The 15,199-nt window shown below is 50.4% G+C and overlaps 1 protein-coding gene across 2 annotated transcripts in view; it reads left to right on the forward strand.

The window, feature by feature from the left end:
* Positions 1-15,199, forward strand: part of DNAI1 (dynein axonemal intermediate chain 1) — a 62,180-nt gene that overhangs the window by 37,165 nt on the left and 9,816 nt on the right. For both annotated transcript variants that reach the window (NM_001281428.2, NM_012144.4), the window contains exons 10-13: positions 1,146-1,230; positions 4,753-4,870; positions 5,169-5,212; positions 10,658-10,905. In NM_001281428.2, coding sequence (NP_001268357.1) covers positions 1,146-1,230; positions 4,753-4,870; positions 5,169-5,212; positions 10,658-10,905 — 495 coding nt within the window. The remainder of the gene's footprint in view (positions 1-1,145; positions 1,231-4,752; positions 4,871-5,168; positions 5,213-10,657; positions 10,906-15,199) is intronic.

The following is a 15,199-nucleotide window of genomic DNA, read 5'->3' on the forward strand; positions in this document are numbered from 1 at the left end:
TCCTCAAAGGTCAGTTCCCCAGAAGTGACTTCATAACCCTTCGCTGCACTACTCTGCATGTTTCCTCTGACACCATCACCACCGGGAACTGGGTTAGACACTAACATGTATTATCACATTTCACCATCACAATGACCTGATGAGGCAGATGCCACCATCCGCCCCCACTTACCAGGAGGAGTCTAAGACTCAGAGAAGCTAAATAACTTGCCAGAGGTTGCCACCGGGTTCTAATTTTGGTGGGATGGGATAGGAGTGCAGGTCTGTGCGGCTCTAGAACCCATCCTTTTAACCGCTACCTGACGCTGCTGTTTCTGAGACATCGAATCCTTGGGAGCCATGGGCCTGGCCCCCTGACCCTACCCTGGAGGGCTGCCCATTCAGCTGGCTCACTCCTGCCACCTGCCCTAAGCCCTCTGGGCCTTTCCTGTTAGTCCCAAACTCTTTGCTCTTCTGTCAACCTGCCAAGCACCTCATCTTGGGGATTTATGGAATTTCACACAATGGCAAGCTTCCTTTTGGTTCAAGATGAGTCACGTTTTCCTGAAGTTAAGCTTCCTGCTTTCTCATTGGTCTGGGCTGTGGGGAGGGCCTGGAATTAGGAGTCTCAGTTCTGCCTTGTACTCCATGTATGTAAGCATGTCTCTCCCCTCTTTGGGCCTTGGTGCCTTCCTCAGCCTGTAACTGAGTAAGGGATAAAACCACATGATCTTTGAGGCCTTTAATGGGAGTCTTTCACTCTCTGAGCTGGTAAAACTTTTCTGTCTCCACCAAAGAAGGCTCCAACCTGCCCTTGTCTGCTCTCCCCTGCAGACCCTTCCTGGGCTCTCTTCAATGCCCTGTCTTGTGCTCAGAGATAGGCCTTCTCCAAAACAAGTCCAGAATGAAAGCATGAAGCAGGTTCTACCCAGGGGCCAAGTATATCAGCTCAGACCCTTTGTGCCACTTGTGAGGTAGGAGTTCCTAGAAGAGGGTAGTGGCATGAGCTGGGCCTTGAGACATGCAGAGAAACCTTTACAGAGCTATCTGGGGTGAGTAGTGCCAGAGAGCTACTGCTGAATCAATTGCAAGGGTGACATGGCTCAGGACATATGACCTTGCTAAGTGCTGGTTTATGAGGACCTGAAGTTTCTGTATCCCCACAGACTGATGATCTCATCAAATTGTCCCAAGCTGCTAAGATCATGGAGCGGATGGTCAACCAGAATACATATGATGACATTGCTCAAGGTAAGAGTTGAAGTTCTGGCAACCACTATTATTGCCTGTATTAAAAATTTCTCATAAAAGCTTGGGTTATTTGGGTGTCTCTTGCTAGCTCCTATAGGTGCAAGCGGAGAAAAAATAATCCCTCTGTCCTCTGGATGTCACTGGGGAGACAAGACTTATGTGGATTAACCATGACTGATGGCATAAGAAACAATGTGTATACTGATGAGATCTGGAAGTGGTGCAGCAAAGAATACCTGCACATGGGTGATCCAATCTCATCTTCCTGATAACCCTGGGAGGCAGGCAGAGCAGAGACTTGCCCATACTGTACACATGAGGAAGCTAAGGCTAAGGCCACCTGACTAGTGAGTGGCAGAGAGGACCCAAATAGAGGTCTCGATCTTCCTCATTCTATGCTCTGTCCTCTACTCAGAGCACCTTGGGAATGCTATAAATGCCAGAATGTATGGGGTAGACAGAAACCACTCTGGGGATCCTCACATAGGAGAGAAGGAAAGTGAGGGATGAGTGGGAGTAGTTATGGAAGGCTTTGGAGAGGGCTTAGCTAGATGCCAAGGGAGAAGCAGAGTGTGTGAGAGAAGATAGCTACAGGGAGGATGTTCTGGACAGGGATGGCATGAGCAGTGTCTTGGCAGTGAAACCGAATAGGAATGGACTCTGGGGACAAGGGACAGCAGGCTCCCTGACCCAAACAGGATCTTCATTGAAAAGAGGTGAGAGTTCAGGCGGAAGAGGTTGTTGGAGCCCATTAATGAAGGGCCTTGAATATCATGCAAGGAATGTGACCTATCTCTGCAGACAGTTCAGAGAACTGAAACTTTCTAGGCAGGGACACAGCCCGATGAGAGCAAGGCTGGAGGAGGATGTGATTGTGTAGAATATAGGGCAGAGGTGGAGGTGAGGCTCAAATGTGGGGTGGAATGGGCCTTACCACACCTGACCTAGCCTGTGTCTTAAGGAATGGAGAAAAGGGAACAGTTATAATAGTGAGAAACAAGCTCCAGCATTCACTGGGAGTAGCCTGTGTGTCAGGCATTGTGCTATGCAATTTACATGTTATTATTTTGTTTGTTCCTGACAGCCACACTGTGAGGTGAATACCATTATTATCTCCATTTTATAGATGAGAAACTCAGGCTGGGATGTTGCCACTTTTTCAAAGTCACAGCTAGTGTGAAGTGTGAGTGGCAGAATCAGAACTCGAACACAGGCCCCTTGGATCCATCACCTAAGCACTTCGCCGCTAGGCTGCAAAGCCACTGAGCCGGAAGAGACATTTCAAATAAACACACTCAATAGATCTATCCTGGTGATTAATTAGTGATGAGTTGAAGAAAGAGATTGATTCAGAAATGCTTAAATCCTGGGGGCCTGGGAAATTCTGGTGTCTGACAGTGTCAGGGAAACAGAATCCTTCCCATGGCATGAACAGCACATTCCCAAGTGGCTTGTATTTCCCTAAGAGGTTGTGCATTTATTTGGAGCAGCTGCCTTCCCAGAGTTGGCAGCTCCTCGATGCTGGCTGGTCTCCTTTGCTGACAGCCTAGGGCTCTTCTTGGTGACTTGATGCTCATTGCTCACCCATGGGACACAGAAACCAGGGCTGCCAAAACCAGCCACCTAAACAAGCCCCCTCATTATCATTCAGGCTGGAAAACGACCTTGAGTGCTTTTCAAAGCTGTCAAAGTACACAACAGCTGTGAATGAGTTTGTCACTCACACAGCGTGGCTTCTTGAAACCCAGCCTCTGCAAGTGGCCCACCAAAGGGCTGCAAACCTGATTAATATCCATGGAGAAATTGGCCTTGGTGAACCACTTTCATTTATAAGAACACAGTCACATAAAAATGTATTGAACTTTGATTTTTTTAATTGCATACTCCTTTCCCTTTGGGAAAGTGTAATCATGAAGGAGACATGAAAATAGAGAAGTGTTACCAATTAATCTCTGCTCTGAATTGAAGTATTTTCAAAGATAACCCAAGCGGGGTAATCTCTGATGTAATCAAGGCTCACGCCTCTCTGACCACTTGAATCTTTTTTGTTCTGAGACATTTTTGAGGTTTGAGTGAAGTCCCACAACCTCAAGGTATGGGCACTATAGGAGATGTCAGGCCTGGGCATGTTCTTGGCTTCACTGAATGACAGGATTCATTTTCTAATTGGTCACCCTTTGTCTAAAGAAGATCAAGAACTACTTCACTTCTGTTAATGAATTTCACTGCATTCTTTAAACAGTTGTTGGTTGTCTGTTTTGTGGCTGGCCCTGTGCTAGGCACTGGGGACCCAGAGAATATATGTGTGTCCTGCTCTCCAGATATTGTCTGGTGGGGGAGAACAGGCAAAAGGATAGAGGCAATCTAGTGTGACAGATGTTTCAGTAGAGGAGAGGCAGGGCTGGAACAGAGGAAGAAATTAACTCTGCTCAAAAGAAAATGAAGGCCTTACAGATGAGAAAGAGTTTGATCTGGATCTGGAGTGAGTAGGAGTTTGCCAGGAAGAACAGGGCATCTTAGACATGGAAAACGATGTAGAAACACCCAAAACAGGAGACAACTGGACTCATTGGCATGATTTGATATGGAGGGGACACGGACAGCTGACTAGAAATAACGTGGATCTCCTCTTGGTTTAATCTCCTCTGCAAGGAGAGCCATTGAGGGGGTTTCAGTGGAGTGAGGAAAGGGGTGTCGTGAGGTGCCTTGTTTGTACTCACACTGGTTGTTCTGTGAAACAAGGGTTGGAGAAGGAGTTACTGGAGGTAGGAGACCAGTTAGAGGGATGTTGTCATAATACAGGTGATGGATGTTGGGGCCTGAACCTGGGCAGGGGCTATGGGTTTGGAGAGAAGCGAATGAATTAAAAAGATAGAAGAAAAATATGAGAAATTATGGAAACAGATCAGTCAAGGATTACTCATTTCTGGTTTAGACAAGTGGGAGGATGGGGCATCTATCTAACTTAAAGAAAGTGGAAGGCAGAGACAATTTTGTGGGCAGGAGATGAAGTTGGGTTCAGAGAACCCATGGGGGATCTAGGCAGCTTCATTATAGGGAGACTTGGCTGTGGATATGAAAATGGGCTGCATTTTAGGGATTTAGGAGGCAGAATTAATGGAACTATTAATCAGCCCTTGGCAGCTGAACCCTTGAAATTTGGCTCCTCCAAACAGAGCCTCCTGAAATGCTAGGGAAACACATGGGAACAAGGGCTGCGAACCTGGGATTTTATCCATGTAGACATGGCCGGTGTATTGTAATGTACCTCCAACAACAACGACAGTAACAATGGCTAACACATAGAGCTTACTATGTGCCAGGCATTTTTCTAAGCTCTTTGCATATATTAACTCAATTCATATATCCTCACAACAGAACTCTGAGATAGGTAGTAGTATTATTCCCACTCTAAAACAGAGGCTCATTGTTTTGCCCAAGGAGGTACAGACAGTAAGTGGTGGACCTGGGTTTGCCATAAAGCGGCAGTCCCAGGGCTGACTCTGCCTGTGTGTGTTTAAGATTTTAAGTACTATGACGATGCTGCTGATGAATACCGGGACCAGGTGGGTACCCTGCTGCCGCTCTGGAAGTTCCAAAATGACAAAGCCAAGCGCCTGTCCGTCACTGCCCTCTGCTGGTAAGTATAGGCATTGCAGCAAATGCAGAGCCCCTGAGTGCCCTCTACATCCCAAACCCCCAGTACCCCCTTCTGCACTTAACCACCTTGAGTATGACATGTGACAGTATAGAAAAATATGGAACTTGGATTCTTATGGGATCACAAGACCACCCCCAGGACTCCCAAGTGGTGAGGGCCTAAGCTGGAGAACAGATGTCTGTAGTATATTTAGGCACCAGTGCCAATGGGAAGGCCCTTGTCCACAGGAGGGCCATGTTCATTTCCTATGCCAATGGATTCATATTTTTTTTTGCAGGAATCCAAAGTACAGGGATCTGTTTGCAGTGGGATATGGCTCTTGTAAGTGATCTGACTATTCATTTATTTGCTCATGTAAACAGCAAACACTAAGTACCTACTCTGTGCAGAACTCTTTGCCAGTTGTAAGAAATACAAAGATGACTGCCCGCAGGGGGCTCACAGTCTAATGGGGAAGACCCACAATCCTACTGGCAATTAGTGCTGGGTGAAGGAATATTCTAAGCTGAATGTGTCAATGGAACCTTGAAGGAGTTATTCTGGTGAAGAAAGAGGGGAAAACACTTCTGGCAGAGGGACCTGCATATGCAAAGGCTTGGAGGCATGAGGAATATGGCAGAATATGAAGCTGCTGGGGGGGCCAGGGTCAGCCCTCAAAGGGCCTGGTAAGCCATTCCAAAAAGCTTGGATCTTCTCCTGAGGGGAAACCACTGAAGGAATTCAAGGACAGGGACATGACCAGTGCAGGGAGGAATTGCAGGCATTGCAGGCCTGAGACTGGAGGCAAGGAAACCAGTTAGGAGACTGATGCGGGCATCCCAAGGAGAGATGGCAGGACCTTAACCACACTGTGGAGTAGGGATGGAGACCCCCCCTTCCTGCCTCCTCCTCAGGCCTTCCTGACCGGGTGGGTGGGGGCATGGGGGATGGGATCCCCTGAACCTTCGGAGCCCACTGCTATCCAGAGTGTGCCCGCCCCTGCCAGTTACCCACCCAAGGCAGGAAGGCAGCACAATGGAAACTGTGTCCAGGCGATTTGCTTTCCCTTCATGTTACTTGGTCCCAGAAGAAGCCCCTAGCGCTGTGCTGGCCTGGACATTCCCCCTTCCCAACGGGAGAGGGCCCTACACTTCACAGTAGTCTCGCTCCCCAGTGCTAACAGCTTGTTCTCTGGCTGGGAGGATCAGCTTCTGCAAACACAAAAACCTTTCCATTCTCCAAGCTGCTGCTGGCTGGCAGGCATACAAGCTCCCAGTCACTGCCCCTCAGACTGCCTGTCCACCCATTCTTTGACCAGGGTGGGGAGGGGCAGTGGGTGTTTGTCATTCCTCTCAGGGAGGAGACCTTGGAGCTACTCCCAGTCTTGTGGTCTGGGCCGCCTTTGAGGATGCCCTAAATGCCTGCTTTGTGTCCCCACTCCTGAGGGTGGGCTGCTGCCAAGTGGGAAGTGCCCTCCCCCTCTGGCAGGGAACTAGCACATTCCTCCCCCTCTGCTGCAGCTACTGGGCCTGGAACAGGGCCTGGGGGTTGGGTTGGGCAGGCCCTCCCAGGAGTGGGTGTGGACCCCCCTGTGAGGCTACTCTCAACCCAGGCTCTCTGCCCAGGTCTGAAGCAGGGGTGTAGGGGTTGCTCCTCAGAAGGTGGGAGGGGAAACTGCTTCAGTTTTAGCGCTATTCTCCCCGCACCCAGGTTCGGAAGCAGGCTCAGCTGGTCGGGGTCATGTGGAGGCTGTCGTGGGGGCTGGAGGGCTGGGCAGCCTTGGGCAGGAGCAGTAGAGTAGGTCACCTCCCACCAGCAGAAGACCTTGAGCCTGACAAGCCCAGCAATGTCCTTTGGGCAGGCACTTACCTGAGAACGGTCTCTTTGTCCTTCCTTGATGCTGTTAGCTACATCCACGTGCCTGAGTGGTACCCGTCGTCAGCTACAGTCCTGGGGGTGGGGGTGTCACTTTCCAGTGACACCTGGGGCCAGAAGCCTCTCTGAGCCTTGGTTTCTTCGTTGGTGACATGGAAAGGCTGACAACCTGCCAGGCCTCCATTCCAGGGCTATTGTGAGGTACGCTTGAGAGAGAAGAAGTAAACATGCTGCAAGCGGAGGAACCACCTACACATAACGGACAATCATTGCTGATTTGTCTGTCATTCTTTCTCGTAGCTTTCCTGCAGTACCCTCAGGGAGCCCGAGCAGAGAAGGGGGGTGTGGAGACAGAGGTAGTCTCCTAGGGAGCAGGGCCCAGTGGCAGCAGCAGTGGTATTTGCTTTTGTTGTCACTGGCTCTGGGGTTGTTGGCCGGCTTTCAGATGAGCATCTATTCTCCAGAGCCTTGCATATCTCAGAACCACCTGCAGAGGCCTGAATAGAACCAGGCTGGCTGAGACTCAGGAAGGCCCCTGCATCCATCCTGAGCTTGCCTCTGGGAGTCCCATGCTCTTGAGTGCCTCCATGGGAGAAAGAGGGCGAAGCTGGGGCAGACAGAAGGCACCCTAGCTGCTGGATGGGGTCACTATGAGGAGCAGCTGGTCTCACCAGCATCCATCACACTGTCTTTGGAAGCTCCCAGATACCACCCTCCCATAATCAGCTTTTGCCTCATGAGGACAAACACTGGAGTGAGAATTTGGGTTTGTAGTTGGATTTGACTCTGGTGAGCTGAGTCTAGACCTCATAAACCTCCTTTTTATGGTATTCCCAGATATTTATTCTGTGACTCAGCCAAATAAAACTTTGGCAGGGGTAGGTATGTACCCTAGGAAGGACTGTAGCCATTCCCTCATTTCTGGGACAGGCCAGGTTGGTTGGAGCCAGCCAGGAACAAGCAGGTAGAGAAAAGGAAATCTGGGCAATTGCCTGCAACAGCACAGAAACATCCCTACCTGCTTCCCTTCTATAGCTGCTGGGTACCAGCTAGTGAGCACAATAGGCTGCTTAAAGGGCAAAGATTGGGATCCCCCTAGGGCCAGGCTACATGTTCCCAGCAGAGTAGAGAAAGAGGCTGTCAGTAGGTATAAAGCAGGTGGAGGAAGGTTAGAAGAAAAGGAACTAGCCCAAGAAGAGATGGCCTTGGGACTGCTGGGATGCAATGATGTCAGCCGGCTGTACTGAAGGGGTCCTTTCCAGCCCATTAGCCAATTCATAGCAGGGAAACAGGGACTTCTCATGGTCTTCCAGGCATGGATGGTGGAACAGATCAGGATGCTCTGTGTGGTCCTGAGGCTATCACACAGGAGATGGGGCAAGAAGCTTCCCAGAGCGCCATGTATTGGAAGAGCAGGGGAGCCAGCTGTTCCCCAGCCCAGCCTCTGTCTGGGGACAGCACCCTCAAAAGGGGCCAATGTCAGGCTCTGAGTCCCAGCTCTAAATCCCTTCCCACTCTGTCCCACCACATCCTGGCCTGTCCCTGGGCCTGCCCAGGCCAGAGATACACTTTTAGGGATTTAAATCTTTCCTGATCATTTGTTTGTCAGCTTCACTAATTAAGCAGTGTTAATTTCATTTACTGGAAATGGAAATTCATCCACCTCATTTCTTCTCATTCATCCTCCACACACAAAATCCATCACTCCTCGGCTGCGGGCTGCGTAAAATTTACAAGACTAATTATGTTGTCAGGTCTCTTTGTAAATACAGTCCTTAAAGGCCACTGTGCTTGCTGGGTTGTAATGCAAGGGCATTCCTGTTGTTAGTTTAATTACTGGTTAGTTATTTAGGTTCTCAAATGTTTGCCTCATTTTCCCTAAATCAAATTAAATGTCCCGCTTGATGTATTCTGTCTCTAAGGCCTTGCTCTTATTTCCACACTGTTTAAATATGACTTCTAATCGAACGAGAGTGCCTGGAAAAGCCCAGCTGCTGGAGAGGCTGAGCCCAGCTCGGCACCATGGCCTCTGGGCCATGCTTGAGGTTTTGAACCCTCTAGCAACTGATAACCTTCTTTAGAGCAGCCTTGGGCTAGTCCCCTGCCTTTGGAAACTGTGAACGTCCTAACACAAGGGGAATTTTTGTTCCTGGAGTCGAAGGTGGCAAGGCTGAGGTATGGGAAATGGAGAGAGGGTTTCATTATTGTCATCAGAAGGGCGGAGGAGCATTGCATCCATCCAGCTGACTTCTAGAGGGACGGCTTCCAAACCATCCCAGAAAAAAAAAAGTGCCATCTATGGGAGCCTCTCTCTCTGATTCCTAAAGTACGTTTGGGTCAATTTTCCCTAAATGTCTACTATATTAGTTTCCCGTTGCTGCTGGAATAAACTACCACAAATTTAATGGCTTAAAATAACACAAAATTATCATATAGTTCTGGAGGTCAGAAGTCCAAAATAGGTTTCACGGAACCAAAACCAGGTGGTAACAGGGCTGCATTCCCTCTTGAGGCTCCAGGGGAGCAGCCCTTTCCCTCCCCTTTCCAATTTCTACAGGCTGCCCACATTCCATGGCTTGTGGTCCCCTTCCAGCAAGCAATCGAATCATTCTGACATCTGCTTCTATGGTTACATCTCCTTCCCTGACTCTCCTGCCTCCCTCTTTCCCTTATAAGAACCCTTGTGATTACATTGAGTCTACCCAGATAATCCAGGATAATCTCCTCCATCTCAATGTCTTTCACTTAATCAAATCTGCAGAATCCCTCTTGCCATGAAAAGTGACATATTTACAGGCTCAGGGGATTAGGATATGGACATCTTTGCAGGGGGGCCTTATTCTGCCTACCACACACCCCCTCCAAGTGCCTCTTGCATGACTTAATAAGGGAGTCATTAAACAGCTGCTGTCTTGGAGCCAGTCCTGGGCTAGACTCATTTAGGACAGCACAGTAAGAGAGGAAGCCTGCTGTCAGTGGCTGGCCTGGTATCCTTGTCTCTGTAGCGTGGCATCTACTTCCTCCTGTCCACTGACCTGGCCTGATGCCCCTACATGCCCTCTGCTTTAGCAGAGTGCCCCCAGGTAGGGGCTGCACTAGCCTTCCACCTCTCCAGCTTCGGCTCCCCTGAGCTTGGTGAGGAGGCTGGGAGGACCGAGCTGGTGGCGGAAGGGCTGGGACTATGTTCATGACTACATATCAGGATGGGCGCCAAGTACACAGAAAATGAAAGAAAGAGTGGGAGGCACTCCCTTGACATGGGGCTGGTGGGGAGAAGGGCCTCTGCTGAGTGGTCCATTGTTGATTGCCAAAAGCTGTGCCCAGGTCAAGTGGGCCTGTGGAAGCCTGACTGGCTGGCCTGGGACTTCTGGGTTTGGGGAGCATGCCTAGATCTAGGGCTCAGGCTGAACCTGGGACTGTGGGGATATGCTCATAGGTGGCTAGTTTGGGACTCACTGTAGACAATTCGATGTTAGTTCAAGCTTAGCCCATATTTAGCTGGGGGGAGGGGTACATGGGCATTATCCAGGCATCTATGGAAAGCTGCCTGCCCTTGGCTGGGCATCCAAACCCCCTCTGAGGGTTCTGCTCCTTCCCAAGCTCACACACCTTCTTCACTTAGCAGCTCTTTGAGCCAGCATCCCCCTTTCCTGCACCTTGGGGAGAATTAGGAGAATAAACCTGGTCACCTTGATTGGTTGTTGGATCTTTCCATGATCTCTGAGAAGGGAAAGGTCACATCTCATAATTCCACTTCACAGATGGAAAAGATGAATCCCAGAGAGGAATCCCACACTCTGACAGATGCAGAGCAGGGCAGGGCTTGCCCACCTAGTGGGGTAGGGGTGAGGGGGCTTCTCCAGGCAGGGCAGTTGGATCCTCCAACCTCAGCCGCCCATCTTCCCTGGGTAGATGACTTCATGAAGCAGAGCCGGGGCATGCTGCTGCTCTACAGCCTGAAGAACCCCAGCTTCCCTGAGTACATGTTCAGCAGCAACAGCGGCGTCATGTGTCTCGACATCCACGTGGACCACCCCTACCTGGTGGCAGTAGGCCACTATGACGGCAACGTGGCCATTTACAACCTCAAGAAGCCCCACTCCCAGCCCTCCTTCTGCAGCTCAGCCAAGTCTGGCAAGCACTCAGACCCTGTGTGGCAGGTCAGCAACCAGGCTGGGAGGGGTGGGGATGGGAGCAGCATGTGGGCCTGGAGCCACTGGAGGAGGGAGGGAGCTTGGGGAGGAGAGGACCACAGGCAAGGAGATGAGGATGGCAGGTACCATCAGGTCAGGATCTGGGTGTCAGAAAAGGGCAGAAGGTGAAAATCAGGAGGCAAGAGGGTCTCCAGTGAGAGCTGGGGTCTGCTGCTCCAGAGCTTCCCTCAGGAGGGCCCCCACCTGTTTGCTAAAGATCTCTTAGATGTGGCGATCAGTAACTCAGAAGACATAGCTGGAAGGCTCCAGGGCCTGACAGGCTCCAGCTGAGTACAGTGGGCCCTTAGACAATGTGGGAATGAGGGACACTGACCCCCACACAGTCAAAAATCTGTGTATAACTTTGGGGTCCTCAAAAACATAACTACTAATAGCTTACTTTTGACCAGAAGCCTTACTGACAACAGTCAAATAACACATATATTGTGTGTTATGTATATTTTATGTACTGTATCCTTACAATTAGGCAAGTAGAGAAAAGAAAATATGTTATTAGGAAAATCATAAGGAAGAAAAAATATATTTACTGTTCATTAAATGTAAGTGGATCATCACAAAGGTCTTCATCCTCATCATCTTCACATTGAGGAGGCTGAAGAGGAGGAGAAAGAGGAGGGGTTGGTCTTGCTGTCTCATGGATGGCAGGGGCAGAAGAAAACCTGTGTATAGTTGGACCCATGTAGTTCAAAGTCATGTTGGTCAAGGGTCAACTGTATGTTAAAGACCAGGTCCTTGTCTACAAGCTTCCTCAACTCCGCACGGGGCCTTTCCTCTGCCATCTGGGCTAGATTTGGGGAAACTCCCAGGAAGGGGTGGCTGCTGCTGGTTGCCTGCCCTCGGGTGGGACTGTAAGGCCTGGTAGGCAGGTCTGCCCCTGAGCCTCTCTGTAGCACCCCCTCTTCTCCAGACATACCTAGAGTGGTGGGTGGGGCCTCTGCAGAAGTCTGACACCAACCTGGAACCATTACCTCGACATTGGGGCTGGATTTCACCCTGACTGTGTTTCCCATCATATTCCACTGGGCGTAGATTTCAGTTTCACTCTCAGAGGGTCTCTTAGCTGTGGCTTTGCAGGCCCTTCCTTATTGTGTCCCAAAGGTCCCCTTCTTTCAAAGGCTGTGTACTATTTTTCCATGGGCAGGACTGGGAGGACCTAAGGATGAATTTCTGCCTGAAGTTGCTCAAGGTCTCTGGGCTCATCAGACAGCAGTGGGACTCTGTCTTCTCTTCTTTCACTTCCCTCCTGCCCTGACAGTCTGCAGGCAAGTTCTACACTCCTGCCTCTTATGGCCCTGAGCTTCCTGAGACATGTGGACACCTTCCCCAGCACTGACAGGCCTGAGCAGAGGGAGGACTGCCCAGGCACAGGGGCCATGGTGCCCTCTCAGCTTTATCCTTTACCCAGAGCCTGGGGCAGAGGGTGGGAGGGAGGCAGCCCCTCCTGCCATACGCCCTCCCCGGCTACTCTCCAACAAAGCAGAGACCAGAGGTTGCAGCCTCAGGAGTTTTCTCCACCAAAAAGTCCACCTCCCAATTAATCACCAGGCCTTCCAGACACATGTAGGTCTCCAGGCAGGGAAGGATCTCTGTAGAAACTTTAAAACTCAGGGAGAGGAGAAAAGGCCTGTCTTGATCATACCTGGCCCAGCCCTGCCCCTGCTTTCCCAGCTCAGATAGCCCAGGGCCAAGCGCAGAGCATCTCTGGTTGGCCTGACCACCTTCCTTCCTCAAGCCAAGCAGAAGGGCAGAGGCCCAAGCCAACCACCCTACTCCTACTCTGCTATGTCCTGTAAATCAAATAGCAGATTGCTGGGAAAATGGGGCGTTGAGAAGAAACATTATTGCTTTCGCTGAGCAGGTCCCAAGAAGACAGGAACTCAGCTGGACAGAGAAGCCTTCTGCTCTCCTATCCTGCCAGGAAAACAGGGCTGCTGCCTTTGCAAAATGGAAGACTCAGTTTTTTATATAGAATAATGGCATGTGACATGGTCAGGACCCACCTGTCTCTCACTTGTTTACTCACTTCCTGTTCTCTTCTTTTCTTCTCATTCCTTCCTCCCTCCTTATTCATTCACTTACTCATTCATACATTCAGTAACTCCTCCCTGTGTGCTCCTCTGGTTGATCTCTGGAGTTCCTACTGGGGAGATAACCACAGCCACAGACTGACCAGGGCAGGGCAGCGTGCTAAGTGCTAAAGTAGAAGTGCGCAAGGAGGGGCACCCACACTGTCCTGGGTGGGGACCAGGGGGTGGAGGGCTGGGCAGGTCTTTCTAGAGGAAGCAACACCTGAGCTGGATTGTGAGGGAGGAGAGAGAGTTAGTGAGATGAAGAAGGGTACAAAGGGGTCACATGTGCAATGACATGGGGCATCAAGCAGAGTAGCCTGTTGGGAAGTGACACGTCATTTGAAGCACCCTGCACTTATCTATTAAGTTAAGATGCTTGGACATTGTACGTCCGTGGTTTCAAGCAAAGTGTTCATGCAGAAGCCCATATTAAAAAGATGAGATTAATATTAAAAAGAGATGAGAAAATATTAAAAAGATGAGAGTGGTGCTCTGTTAGGACCAGGTCCCTGCTTGCTTAAGGGTCCCCTGTTTTCACTCCCTCTACCCCCCTGAGCATAGTTCGAAAATTGCTGCCCAGCCATCAGAGAGTTTGGGGCAGAGGAGTAACACAGTCATGTTTGTCTCTTGGAAGGATCCTCTGGCTGCAGCATGAGTGATTTTGAAGCCTGAGCTAGGGCAGGGGCAGTGGAGACAGAAATGAGAAGACAGGGTTGAGAGCTGGTGGGGTAGCAAAATCAATAGAAGGAAGTGATTGATCAGATATTAGATAGAAGAACTGATGCTGCCTGGGTTTGAGGTGCTTAGTAGGCCATCCATAGGAGTGAGAAATGGCAGAAGAAAAACAGTTGCGCCACTGCAGTCCGCAGTCCGGCCTGGGCGACAGAGCGAGACTCCGTCTCAAAAAAAAAAAAAAAAGAAAAAAAAGAAAAACAGGTTTGGCCAGAAAGTAATACAAGAAACCCAAGGGACACCCAGAGGGAGGCATCCTCCAGGCAGTTGGCTATATGAGCATGGAGGTTGAAGGAAAGCCAGGCTGGTGAATGAGATGTCAGAGACATCAGAGTCTAAGTCCCTCTTAACAGGACTGTGTCAGAGATACTGTGTCAGAGATATATGGGGGAGGCCAGAGAGGTTGTGTTAGATCTCAAATGCCAGGCTGAGGCAGAAGGAGTTTGTTCTGTTGGCAGTGGTGAGCCATGGAAGGTTTTGGAGCCAAGGAGAGGACTGTCTGTTCTAAGAAGATTGGGCTCCTGTCCCACAGCACAGGCTTCTTCTCCAGGGAACCTGCCTGAGTAGCCAGCTCTGTGCAGGCCCTACTGTGAAGCTTCAACCAGCAACACTCTGTGGGGTGTGTGTGTGTGTGCGTGCTGGTGCAATTCTGGGGAAGGAGGCAGGAAGGATGTACGAGCAAGAGACTAGGGTCAAGCAGGTCTGCCCTAAGAAAATAAGGCAGAAGAGAATAAATCAGTGAAGCAGGTTCCAGCTCCTCCCTACCACCTGGTCCCTGGGAATTCATTCATTCTCTTAACCTCACTTACCACCCTCCCTCTTTTGCTTTATTCCTACCGGCTCACCTCCACCCCAGGAGCATGTGTGTGACTTGCGCACATACACACATACACAGTCACTTGCAAATACACACACACCACCCCCCACTGGGCATCAGGCTGCTAAGTGGGGTGTGAAATACAATTTCCATGCGGTGCTGGCGTCTGCTCATTAAACACTTCCCTTTGCAGCTCCCTAGCGCCTCTTACAGCCTGGCCTTTGACACCCCCTGTCCCCTCCCCCCTTTAAAGGGACCACCTTTACACAGAAGGAGAAGCGGTCTCAATATTAGGGCTGACTCTGACTTATGCCTCACAGGCTCTGTGGCGCTCTCAGTCCAGTGAAAGTGCAAAAGAGCCAGCTGCCTGGACAGACCAAGACAGGACTCAGCCCGCCCTCCTGAAGCTCCGATCCACCAGGCCTCAGGCTGGCTGGGGAGAGGCAACCCATTCTCTACTTCCCTCCAGCCCCCAACAACCCTGGTGACAGCAGCAGTTACAGGCAACAGGCAATGGCACTGGGTTCTTGGCCTCCCTCACTGGTCCTCTGCTAGTGACGGGGAGGGGACAGGACGGTGGTCCCAGCATGGGCGGTCTGGAGGGAGCTAGAGAATGGAAAAC

This window comes from Homo sapiens, chromosome 9, assembly GCF_000001405.40.
Source record: "Homo sapiens chromosome 9, GRCh38.p14 Primary Assembly".
NCBI lineage: Eukaryota > Metazoa > Chordata > Mammalia > Primates > Hominidae > Homo > Homo sapiens.